The sequence below is a fragment of the Homo sapiens genome, chromosome 1 (genome assembly GCF_000001405.40).
Source record: "Homo sapiens chromosome 1, GRCh38.p14 Primary Assembly".
Taxonomy (NCBI): domain Eukaryota; kingdom Metazoa; phylum Chordata; class Mammalia; order Primates; family Hominidae; genus Homo; species Homo sapiens.
In genome coordinates, this window is record NC_000001.11 from 216282495 (window position 1) to 216295336 (window position 12842).

A 12842-nucleotide genomic window follows, 5' to 3' on the forward strand; every position below is an offset into this window, starting at 1 on the left:
ACTGAACTGTCTTGGCACTGTTGTCAAAAATCAATTGACTATAAATATGAGGGCTTATTTGTAAATTCTCAATTCTATTTCAGTGAATATGTCTCTATGTCTATCTTTATCCCAGTACCATGCTGTCTTGATTATAGTAAATTTTGAAATTGGGAAGGGTGAGTTTTCCAACTCTTTTTTTATAAGGTTATCTTGGACATTTTTGAGTCCCATGAATTTCATACAAACTTTAGGATCATATGGTCAATGTCTGCAAAGAAGTAAGGTGGGCATTTAACAAAGATTACACTAAATCTGTAGATCAATTGGAGAGTGTTGTTAATTTAATAATATTAAGTCTTCTGATACATGAGCATTGGGTGTCATTCTATTTATTTAGTTCTTCTTTATTTCAGCAATGTTTTATGGTTTTCAGAATATAATTTTACACTTCTTTTACTAAATGTTTTTCTAAATATTTTAATCTTTTGGTGATTTTTAAAAGACGTTTTCTTAATTTTATTTTCAGATTGTTCAGTGCAAATATATGGAAATATAATTGATCTTTGTGTATTGATATTGTACTCTGCAACCTTGCTGAATTTATTAGGTTTTTTTCTGTTGTTGTTGTTAGATGTAGTCTCGTTCTGTCGCCCAGGCTGGAGTGCAGTGGCATGATCTCAGCTCACTGCAAGCTCCACCTCCCAGGTTCACACCATTCTCCCACCTCAGCCTCCCCAGTAGCTGGGACTACAGGCACCCACCACCATGCCCAGCTAATTTTGTTTTTGTATTTGTAATAGAGATGGGGTTTCACCATGTTAGCCAGGATGGTCTCCATCTGCTGACCTCGTGATCCACCCGCCTCGGCTTCCCAAAGTGCTGGGATTACAGGCATGAGCCACCGCGCCCAGCCTGAATTTATTAGTTTTAATACTTTTGAATTAATTCCTTAGGATTTTCTATCTATAAGATAATGGCATATGCAAATACAAATAACTTCTCTTTTTCCAGTCTCAATGTCTTTTATTTCATTTTCTTGGCTACAACTTTCAGTACAATGTTATGGGATATTGTTATCTTGCTTTTGATCTTAGGAAAAAAGCATCCAGTTTCTCACTGAAATATTTGGATATAGTATTTTTAGCCCTCTACTTGTTATTTGTTTATCTCAAATCACAAAAAATTGTGATTTGATCTTAAATAAAATTGAATTACTAAACATGTATGTAAGGAAACTATCCTTGCAGACCATAAAGACCAATGGATACTTTGAAAATATTTTTTGACTTATGTATTTATTTCTTTGGATCATAATTGTTTGTCATTTCCTTTGTTTAATGTTGTCCCCAGTCTTACATTCCTTTTTCACTTTGCATATTGAATATTTTAATATGGGGTTATGAATGGTAATGTTTTGACCATCTCTCGTACAAAAAGAATCTTAACCTCATGTTGGTGCCATAGCTTGGATAGAACTGAGTATCAAGTTTTTCTTCAAAATGTCTTCTTTTGGGATTTTAAGGTTATTCTGAACTGTCTTCTAGTAATATTAAATTCCTAATGATGTTAATATGACTCTCATTTCCTTGTATCTCTCTCTCTGTCTTTCTCTCTCTATATATATACATATATACACACATATATGTACATATATATGTAGTATTTAATTTTGAATTAATAATAAATTATTTCTGTTTCCAAAGAAATCTGAGATAGTTTTACTGGAGCAATATGTGTTCGCTGTGTCCCCACCCAAATCTCATCTTGAATTGTAGTTCCCATAATCCCCATGTCATGGGAGGAACCAGGTGGAGATAATTGAATCATGAGGGGCAGTTTCTCCCATCCTATTCTTCTGATAGTGAGTTCTCACATGATCTGATGGTTTTATAAGGAACTTTCCCCCACCCTCACTTGGCACTTCTCCTTGCTGTCACCATGTGAAGAAGGATGTGTTTGTTTCCCCTTCTGCCATGATTGTAAGTTTACTGAGGCCTCCCCCGCCCTGAGGAACTATAAGTCAATTAACATCCTTCCTTTATAAATTACCCAGTCTCAGGTTTGTTCTTATAGTTGAGTGAGAATGGACTAATACAATAAATCAGTACTGGGTAGTGGGGCGCTGCTGTAAAGACACCCAAAAAAGTGGAAGCAACTTTGGGACTGGGTAACAGGCAGAGGCTGGAACAGTTGGGAGGGCTCAGAAGAAGGTAGGAAAATGTGGGAAAGTTTGAAAGAGATTGGAGGGCTCAGAAGACAGAAAGATGTGGGAAAGTTTGGAACTTCCTGGAGACTTGTTGAATGGCTTTGACCAAAATGCTGATAGTGATATGGACAATAAAGGCCAGGCTGAGGTGGTCTCAGCTGGAGATAAGTAACTTGTGGGGAACTGGAGTAAAGGTCATTCTTGCTATGCAAAGAGGCTGGTGGCATTTTGCCCCTCCCCTGGAGATCTGCAGAGCTTTGAACTTGAAAGAGATGATTTAGGGTATCTAGTGGAAGAAATGTCTAAGTAGTAAGTGTTAAAGAGGAAGCAGAGCATAAAAGTTTGAAAAATTTGCAGGCTGACAATGCAGTAGAAAAGCAAAACACATTTTCCGGAGAGAAATTCAAGTTGGCTGCAGAAATTTGCATAACTAACAAGAAGCCAAATGTTAATCACCAAGACAATGGGGGAAAGTGTCTCCAGGACATGTCTCATCACCCCTCCCATCACAGGCCTGGAGGCCTAGGAGGAAAAAATGGTCCCATGGGCCCAGGGCCCCCCCACTGTGTGCAGTCTAGGGACTTGGTGCCGTGTCCCAACTGCTCCAGCTATGGCTAAAAGGGATCAACATACAGCTCAGACTATTGCATCAGAGAATGGCAGCTCCAAGCCTTGGCAGCTTCCACATGGTGTTGGGCCTGCAGGTGTGCAGAAGACAAGAATTGAGGTTTGGGAACTTCCGCCTAGCTTTCAGAGGATGTATGGAAATGCCTGGATGTCCAGGCAGAGGATGTGCTGCAGGGGCAGAGCCCTAATGAATGAAGTACCTCTGCTAAGGTAGTGTGGAAGGGAAATGTGGGGTCAGACCCCCCACACAGAGTCCCCACTGGGGTACTGCCTGGTGAATCTGTGAGAAGGGGGCCACCATCCTCCAGACCTCAGAATGGTAGATCCACCAACACCTTGCATCGTGTGCCTGGAAAAGCCACAGACACTCAATGCCAGCCTGTGAAAGGAGCCAGAAGGAGGGCTGTACCCAGCAAAGCCACAGGGGCCGAGCTGCCCAAGGCTGTGGGAGCTACCTCTTGCATCAGCATGCCCTGGATGTAAGATATGGAGTCAAAGGAGATCATTTGGTAACTTTGAGGTTTAATGACTGCCCCATTGGGTTTCAGACTTGCATGGGGACTGTAGGCCCTTTGCTTTGGCCAATTTCTCCTATTTGGAATGTGTGTAGTTACCCATTGCCTGTACCGCTATTGTATCTAGGAAGTAACTAACTTGCTTTTGCTTTTACAGGCTTGTAGGCAGAAGGGACATGCCTTGCCTCAGATGAGACTTTGGACTTGAACTTTTGAGTTAATGCTGGAATGAGTTAACACTGTGGGGGACTCTTGGAAGGGCATGATTTTGTTTTGAATGGTGAGAACATGAGATTTGGGAGGGGCCAAGTGTGAGTTTGGCTGTGTCCCAACCCAAATCTCATCTTGAATTGTAGTTCCCATAATCCCCATGTGTTGTGGGAGGAACCAGGTGGAGATAATTGAATCATGGGGGCAGTTTCCCCCATTCTGTTCTAATGATAGTGAATTAGTTCTCATGAAATCTGATGGTTTCAAAAGGGGCTTTCCCTGTTCCTCACTCGGCACTTCTCTCTTGCCTGCTGCCATGTAAGACATGCCTTTGCTTCTCCTTTGCTTTCAGCCATGATTGTGAGGCCTTCCCAGCCACGTAGAATTGTAAGTCCATTAAATCTATTCTTCTGGCCAGGTGTGGTGGCTCATGCCTGTAATCCTAGCACTTTGGGAGGCTGAGGTGGGTGGGATTTGACACCAGTCTAGCCAACATGGTGAAACTCTGTCTCTACTAAAAATACAAAAAAAAGAAAAAAATTAGCCAGGCATGGTGGTGAGCATCTGCAATCCTAGCTGTTCAGGAGGCCGAGGCAGGAGAATAGCTTGAACCCCAGAGGTGGAGGTGGCAGTGAGCCAAGATTGAGCCACTGCACTCCAGCCTGGGTGACAGAGCGAGACTCTGTCTCTAAATAAATAAATAAATAAATAAATAAAAACCTATTTTTCTTTACAACTTACTCTGTCTTGGGTATTTCTTCCCAGCAGTACAAAAATGGACTAATACATGGGGTACTGTATTTACTAGAATACTATGTATTAGAATGGGGTAAACTTTAAAGAGTAATTAACACCAGTTCTGCATTTCTTATAGAAAAACAACAGGAAGGAAGATTTTATAATTCATTTTACGAGAGTATTATCCTAATAACAAAATGAAACAAACACAATTTATAAAAACAAAACCATAGAGCAATATTTCTTATGAATACAGATGTAAAATCCTTAGCAAAATTTTAGCAAATAAAATTTAACAATATATGAAAAGAATTACACACAAAGACACACACAAAGGTGGTTTTATTCCAGGGATGCAATGCTGGTTCAACATTTGAAAGGCAACCAATGTATTCTACTTCACTAACAAACTAAAGAAAAAAAGATCACATGATCATAATAATTGATGCAGAAATAGCAGCTGACAAAATTCAACACCATTCATAAAAACCACTCTCAGAAAAACTAGGAATAGAGAAAAATTTCTCCAACTTAAAAAATAACACTATCTACAGCTAATATCCTGCTTATAAATGGTACAGTCTTTCATAATTCCATCCAATAATTAGCTCCACTTTATAAGATGTTAAGAAAGAAATCTAGAGCCAGTAGTATGCTGGAGTACACTGCACTGGCTCATAAGAGCAGATTAAGTACATTTCTTCTGAAATCCATGTTCAGTGACATCTCACTGGTAGATTGAAATTGATTATGGTGGCCTTTTTTTTTTCTTAGTCAGTTGTTAATTATTTACAAGCACAGAACCACCCAAGGTTGTCTAGCATCCCTATAAAACGGACTTGAAATAGAAGTTTGAGTTCAGAAAAATCAGGTTTCAATTTCTTGTAGATCTGAATGGTGAAATGGAGAGACAAATCTGATGCACTGTAACTCGTGTAGGTTAGACACGTAACTGAGATTCTGGGAGGTAAAACTATAGTTTACAGTCTTCCTATACTATATAACAAAGCTCTTGACCTTAGATTTTCAGGGAGAAAAACTGTTCTGCAAGTGAAAATTTACATAATGCTCAGATTATTGTAATGACCGTTTAAAATAACAATCTAACTATAAGATCAGTGCTCAGATAATCTCTCTTTATTCATTCAACATTTATGTGACAAATACTTATTGGGGGCTTTTTATATGATCGAAACTGTTCTGTTTATGTTGGAAAGAGAGAAGAAGAAAAGTAAACAAATAAATTAATTTTACAGAGCCTGTAATGAGAGTAACATGGTGATATGAAAGACTTGAGAATGTTTTGTAATTGGGTGGTCAGCAAAGATATCTCAAAATATGATATATCAATATTTGAATGATAAGCAAAAGATAGCCATGCTGAAAACTCAGGGTGGATGTGTAAAAATGAAATATAATCTAAAGATACAGTCAGAGTTTACTAATTAATATATGGAAAACTGTAGTATGACTTTCTGAGAAAATAGTCCCTCAATATTATAAAATAAAAATAGTAGAAATTGTCTTTATTAATAATTTTTCTACTCTTCAGCTTTCTAATGAAGCATGTAATGCCCCCTTATTGACACATGATGGTTACTCTGAAGGTCTTTGAATCCATATTTTGTCTTGGTTTATATTTGTCTTTTATTTGGGAAAGCAATTTTTAATGAATTCTCAAAATTATAGGAGAAAGATATTTTGTCTTGTGTGTATTATGTTCACAATATAACTTTTTAACAAATATTCTATAACTGGATTGTGGTTTATGCTCCTAGCCTTATTTATTCATAACAGAGTATATAACTGTTTAAAATTAATACAATCATTGAATTGATTCTTCAAAGTAAATTTCTCCTTTACCGATTTTCACAATTTTCACTTATTAGTATTATCAGAACAGGAAAAACTTCAGCTTCAATAAGAAGCCTGTTTTCCTGCTTGAGGTAGGATACATGAACTGAGGTTAGTTAGAATCTGTGTGCATGTAGGCTAGACATCGATATTTGTGATGTAAGTAAACAGAAAGTTTTAAAATTATAAAAAATCCATTGTACTTTTAAGAGGGAAAGTTAGACTAAGAAATTGAGAAGCGAGGCTATCATAATTTCCATTTGGCCCTAAGTGTAAGTGACTTTTGCTATATGATCTTCTATGGAATTTTTGGAGAAACTATTCTTGTTTATTTATATCATGTATTAATATTAATTCACCAATAATTCCAAGACATATACCCCAATTTACTTAGAACCCCTACCCTTCGATTTTTTGACATTTGTAAAATTAAAACTAAAATAAGCCTTTTTATATGCAAAGGACCACCGAACTAGTGCTATATTTCATGTCCATACTCAAAGTTGCACACGAACAACCATCTCTTTGAAATGCAAATGCACATAGAGGATTTCCTGGCAAATGCAGTCTTCAATTCTACTAGTGGAATAACATCCAAATAAGTTTCTGGCAGACAGAGTAATCCTTTACCTTAAATACTCAGAAAAACTCACCTGATCACAAAGAATGCTACCATTTCTAGTGCCAACTGTATCACAGTCACAGGGTTTGCAAACATCTATGGCCGAAGGATCTGCACCAACTTGTCGGAAAAAGTAATCCTTGCACAGCTCACAGTTCCTTCCTGCATCAGGGAAAGGTTATGCATTATGACTTCTAATTCATTAAAATCAGCTGCATAATTCAAAATTAAAGACTGTATTCCTTTGAGGGAATTCTATAATTTTCGGAACGTCCGTTTTAATGCACCTTTCATCTCTACCTGCCAATTTAGTGATCCAGAGCATATGAAACAATGAACCTGTTACAAACTGTGCTTTACTTCATTAAACTCCCATCTGTTATATAATACCACACTTCTAAAAAGCTGTGCTTTATAGGGGCCCATACATTTGGAAAGAGTTTGCTCCTAAACTTAAAACTTTATATCTGGGGCCAGGCACTTTATCTAAACTCAATACAGCAGGAGAAATTTCTACATATGTGGTAGATGATACTTATACAGTAAGAAGCAAGCAGGTATGTAGTATTGGAAATATTTTTCTAGAACTCAATCATGTAAAATGGGAGACTTCTCTTAATATAATTTATTATTCTGTAGTTAACACAATTAAAAACAAATGATTATGTTAGTGGCCATTATTTTTCATTTCAAAGATTGAAATAGAAATTCATTATATTTAGAGATACCAAGTACTTTTCATACTAAATACTAGAATAGCCTGACATATTAGATATATCAGGTAATTCCCATAGTTTATAATTTATAATTACAAATTTCCTTTGCTATATTATGTAATAAAAAACCTAAACTACAAGGAATTTTTAAAGTGAACGTGACTAGTGTATAAGATAATTGAAATAAGCTGAAGTAGAACTCAAGACTATCAATTCCCCCTTTAAACATGATGTACTTTGCTCAAAAAATATTGAAATTTCTCCAATATTTGAAGACTACAGAAATAATCAATAATCAATAATATGAAAACTCATATTCTGATAGATATTGGCTATTGAGCTAGTTAAAAATTAAATTGATTTATAATATTTCTAGACTATTTCCATTTACATATGCTGTTGACTCCCAAATCCATATCTCCAATCCAGAAATCTCTCTTTTATTTATGAATTAATGAATATTTATCGCGTGATTACTATGTACCAAATACTGTGCTAAGTGCTGTGTAATACAGTAGTAAACTAAATACACAATACCCATTGCATCTCTTTCACAAAGCTCTCTTACAGTCTAGGAGGTAAGAGGAATCTGAACTAAATAATACCAGGAGTAATACACATTTATAAACCATGATAAGCATAGTTGTCACTAACATGTGTAAGTGATTCTGATCTTCTCTAAAGCATCATGAGAGGATTTCCTTGAAGGAAAGAGCTTCAGAACTGTGTTTCCAACTGCCCCCAGGAGTTTCTCCTATGTCTCTTAGAAACCGAGTGAACATATCCACAACAGAACTTGCCATCTCCTCCCTCATCTCAATCCTCCTGTATTTTCTATCTCAATGGCTGGCACCAATGTTGAGCCTACTGCTCAAGCTAGAATGTAATGTTAGGTATCAGTCTTGGCTCTCCTTCCTTCCCTTGCCTACACTCTGCTCACAAAACACTCACTTTTTTATCCTAAATATCTCTTGGATCCATTTCTCTCTATCCGTACCATCTGAAATGTATTCTGACATTATTTCTCACCTGGACTATTGCAGCACCTCACTAACTAGTTTTCCCCAACCACTCTAACCTTCTCCAATCCATTTTTTACTTTATAACCAGGTGTATCTTTTAATAACAAGTAACTCATTATGCCCCTTTCCCATATAAAACCCTTAAGTGTCATCTCCTTGACCTTAGATAAAAGCCAAAGGCTTTATCATGGCTCCAGAGTCCTCTATGATATTGTCCTGCCTTCCTTCCTAATATCTCTTACCACCAGCCATTTGCCCATCTTATGGTTTTTCAAACGTGTCATTTTTCTCCCTCCTCTAGGCCACTGCACAAAATGTTTCCCTAATTGTAAGCCTTAGTTCACCATCCTAATCTTTCAACTGGTTAACTCCTACTGTCCTTGCCCTATCTTAGCAATCATCAGACAACTTTGTAATCATTCCTTTCAATAGTCTGTCTTTCCCACTGTACAATAACCCAAAGACAGAAAATTCATTGTCTTATTCATCTTCATGTCCCCAGCACCTACCCAAGATCTTGTGATATTTAAGTTATCAATAATCAGCCGATAAATGGATTCATGCTTAAGAGTACCACTTTGAAACCCATCAGATATATGCTATTATATTTCACAAATTCAGATGTTGGCCATTTCTTGCCTTTCAAAATAAGGATGGTATTTTTCAATGACTAGTCAAAGGCTTTGTAGTTTTAGAACAGGACTTTGATTATCATCGTCTCCATTTAATTAGTATTTTCAAAAAGAGTATTCTCAGACTACCAGTGTCCATGCCAAATCTGAATGAATGCCATCTCCACATGAGAATCCAGACATAAAGGACAATAAAGGGGACAAAAGGAAACTTACTTTAAGGATATGTGTTCAAAGTAAGCATTCCCGAGTTATTCTAAATATGGTTGTGGTTTAGTCAAATGGTGTGAACTCTTTAAAAAACAAAACAAAACAAAACAACAACAACAAAATCCTTTTCCTGAAAAGATATAGTTTAAGACTAGAGTGCTATTTCTGAAAACTACCTAGTGATTTGGAAATAGGAAGATTTGGTGAACTAGCTTTGATTTTCAAACTTAAAGGTATGAAAGTACATCCTTAAATAAGATAGCAATAACATAATTTAAAATAATATGCATTGTAGATAGAAGCACACAGGCCTCCAAACCAACTCAGGAATTTATTTGCTACTTACCTGTAGTGTTATGCTCACAATCATCACAAACTCCTCCTCCCCCTCTGAAGTGCTCAAAAGGAAATGGGTCTACAGAGATGTTGTAATGGCAGCTTTTGGAATGGCTGTTGCATTGACAAGGTTTACAATTGAAAGCGTAAACTTGATCACCTTGGCGGAAAGGCTTGTCATTATAAAGAGGCAAGCAGCGATCACACTAGAACAAAAAATATCAGAACAGTAAAGAAAATAAAGCTGTGATTTTCTTTCATTTTATTGATATGTTAGGCCTTTCACCAGAAGTAAAGCACATATCAGTGAGTTAAAAGTCAGCAATGATTTTATTTGAAAAATATTTCGTAAGTCAGAAATAGCATATTTACGGGCATGGTAGGGTGGAATTGTAAAAGTGACCATGCAAACTTGAACCATGGAAAATGATCTTTTTTTTTCTTAATTTTTAATTTTTGTGGGTACGTAGTAGGTGTATGTATTTATAGGCTACATGGGATGTTTTGAAAAAGAGATACAACGTGTAATCATCACATCTTGGAAAATGCGACATCTATCCCCTCAAGTGTTTAACCTTTGTGTTACAAACATGCAAAGTGATCTTAATAATCAACAGGAAAGGTTATGATAGCTCTAAGACTTTGTAAAACTTCAACATGTTAACAACTCTCCAATGCTGGTTATAAATGTAAAGAAATAAACCAGTAAAAATGACCATTTATTTAGTACTCTGTAATTTAAAACATTAAAAACTTGGAGAAGTTGTTTTAGTCCTTTGTAAAATACTCACTAAAAGTACTTTGAACAGTGCTTGCCTTCATCTCACCTATAACTTATCACACTGAACACAAGCATCTTTTTTTTTTTTTTTTTTTTTGAGATGGAGTCTCACTCTGTTCCCCAGGCTGGAGTGCAGTGGCATGATCTCTGCCCACTGCAAGCTCCGCCTCACGGGTTCAAGCGATTCTCCCGCCTCAGCCTCCCAAGTAGCTGAGACTACAGGCGCCCGCCACCACGCTTGGCTAATTTTTTGTATTTTTAGTAGAGACGGGGTTTCACCCTGTTAGCCAGCATGGTCTCGATCTCCTGACCTCGTGTTCTGCCCACCTCGGCCGCCCAAAGTGCTGGGATTACAGGCGTGAGCCACCGCACCCGGCCACTTCTTTTCTATGCCTTGGTGAATTGTCACGCTCCTTTCTAAGTTTGAATCAGCTTCCAACATTTTAACTTTTATGCTTTTAGTGTTGTGAAGTACCTGTGAGAATTCCTCTAATGTGAAGTGTTTGGGTGTCACTTCCTCCAGGACATCTTCACCCTATTTGTGGCAAGCACTTCCCTCACTTATGTTAAGTTCACCTTCACTAAGTAGCTCTGGCTACGTATTCAGAATCTCTCAAACCTCAGTAGTGACTATTTCTTCTATGACTCCACTTAGGTTCAATCTGAATTTTACTTCAAGTATTTTCTTTCTTTGCAGTGCTTTCCTCTTTGCTGTCCAATTCCTCTTCTTTTTTGAATATCTGTGTTTGTAAAGTGTCACTCGGGTTTATCACTCACAAGGAGGCAACACAACCACACGCTTCTCTTCTATAAATAAACTGAATGATAAATGTGTAGTGCGCAATCACCAACAGATACTGAAAAAAATAAACGTGATCGGTCACTGATCACAATGTGCATCTGTTATTTTATGTGGTAATTTGTGGACTGCAGAGCCAGCAGCAATGTTTGTTTATGTAATTACTCACAGTAATATTCAATGTTACCCAACACTTGAGTTACGTTGTTGGAGGACTGTTAGCATTTAACTAAACTATGATAACTGATATTCATGCATATCAGAATTGTGTAAGGAGAGAACTGCCTGTATAACTGTAAGACAAAATTTACTCAAATTATGTAATAGGTCTGTTATGTACTGGAACAAATAAAAAAACCTGGATATATGTTTTATAATTAATTATTTTAACTTTCTAATATAAATACAATTTATGGACAAAGCAAAATTTTTTCCATAGATTTAAATAACAATTCAACTGAACTGAGTTTAGTATAACTATAGACATAATAAAAATATTCTTTATAAAACAAAGGCAGGAGGTAGAAAATTAAAAGCACTGGTAATTTGACTAGCAAATGATAAGTCAAAATGTCAACATGAGATAATTTCTTTCAAATTTGTATATGCATATATTTCTTCTTTTCAAAATTATGAATATACATGGGTATTGTGTTATTAAAAATCATATATTTTGTATTACTACATAGTTTTGTATAATTAAACATCATGTATTTTGCTGCATTATTTCTTATATTTCTCATAAAATAACATTCAACCCTTCTGCAATCATTACACATTTAGTTTTTTTTTTTCCATTTTATTTTGGGGATCGGGAGTGGATATATATCTAAGTATTACCTTAAGAAAATTATGAGATGAAATTACATTATCAAAGAGTATAAACATTTTAAAGATTTTGTTAAATATGGTCAAATTCCTTCTAGAAAAATTAAACTCATACTCACACCAGCAATATCTGAGAATGTCCATTTTCTTGTGTTCTGCCCATAATTGTTATATCTTCACTATTTTGATTTTAGATAATATGTCAATTACTGTTTTAGTATTTATGTCTTTGGATACTAGTAATGCCAATCTTCACCTAGTTCTTGGTTAGATATAGTCCTTTTTGAGAAAATTATTCATTTTTCTTTAGTATACTCTTTTTTAATTGACTTTAAAGATTTTATCAGATATTAGAATTTTCCTTTGCCTGTAAAACAGTGAAGATTTAGTTCATAATTTTAAATATACAGTTATATTTATTTCCTTCCCCTACTTTATTGGCCAGAATTTTCAGCATAATAGTTAATTTATATGGTATAGTAGTGTGATAGGCATAATTATCTTTTTACTCATTTTAATGAAAATGTCTATAATGTTGCAGCTTTTATAGTATTGACTATTGATTTTACATAGACAATTTTTATCATTTTGAAGAAGAAATTGCTACTTCAAAACAACCAATATGGATTTTTGTAAAAAAATAAAAAAATATTGTCAATTTTATTAAATGTTCTGATTTAATTGTTTGACCTATTGAATTGATAAATTATACAATAGGTTAGTAGGCTAATTGGAGTCTGTGCTTGCATTTTTTAATAAACCCA

The 12842-nt window shown here is 35.8% G+C and overlaps 1 protein-coding gene across 2 annotated transcripts in view; it reads right to left on the reverse strand.

Annotated features, from left to right (window-relative positions):
- Positions 1-12842, reverse strand: part of USH2A (usherin) — an 800558-nt gene that overhangs the window by 659604 nt on the left and 128112 nt on the right. For both annotated transcript variants that reach the window (NM_206933.4, NM_007123.6), the window contains exons 10-11: positions 9681-9876; positions 6786-6916 (exon numbers count right to left, since the gene is read on the reverse strand). In NM_206933.4, coding sequence (NP_996816.3) covers positions 6786-6916; positions 9681-9876 — 327 coding nt within the window. The remainder of the gene's footprint in view (positions 1-6785; positions 6917-9680; positions 9877-12842) is intronic.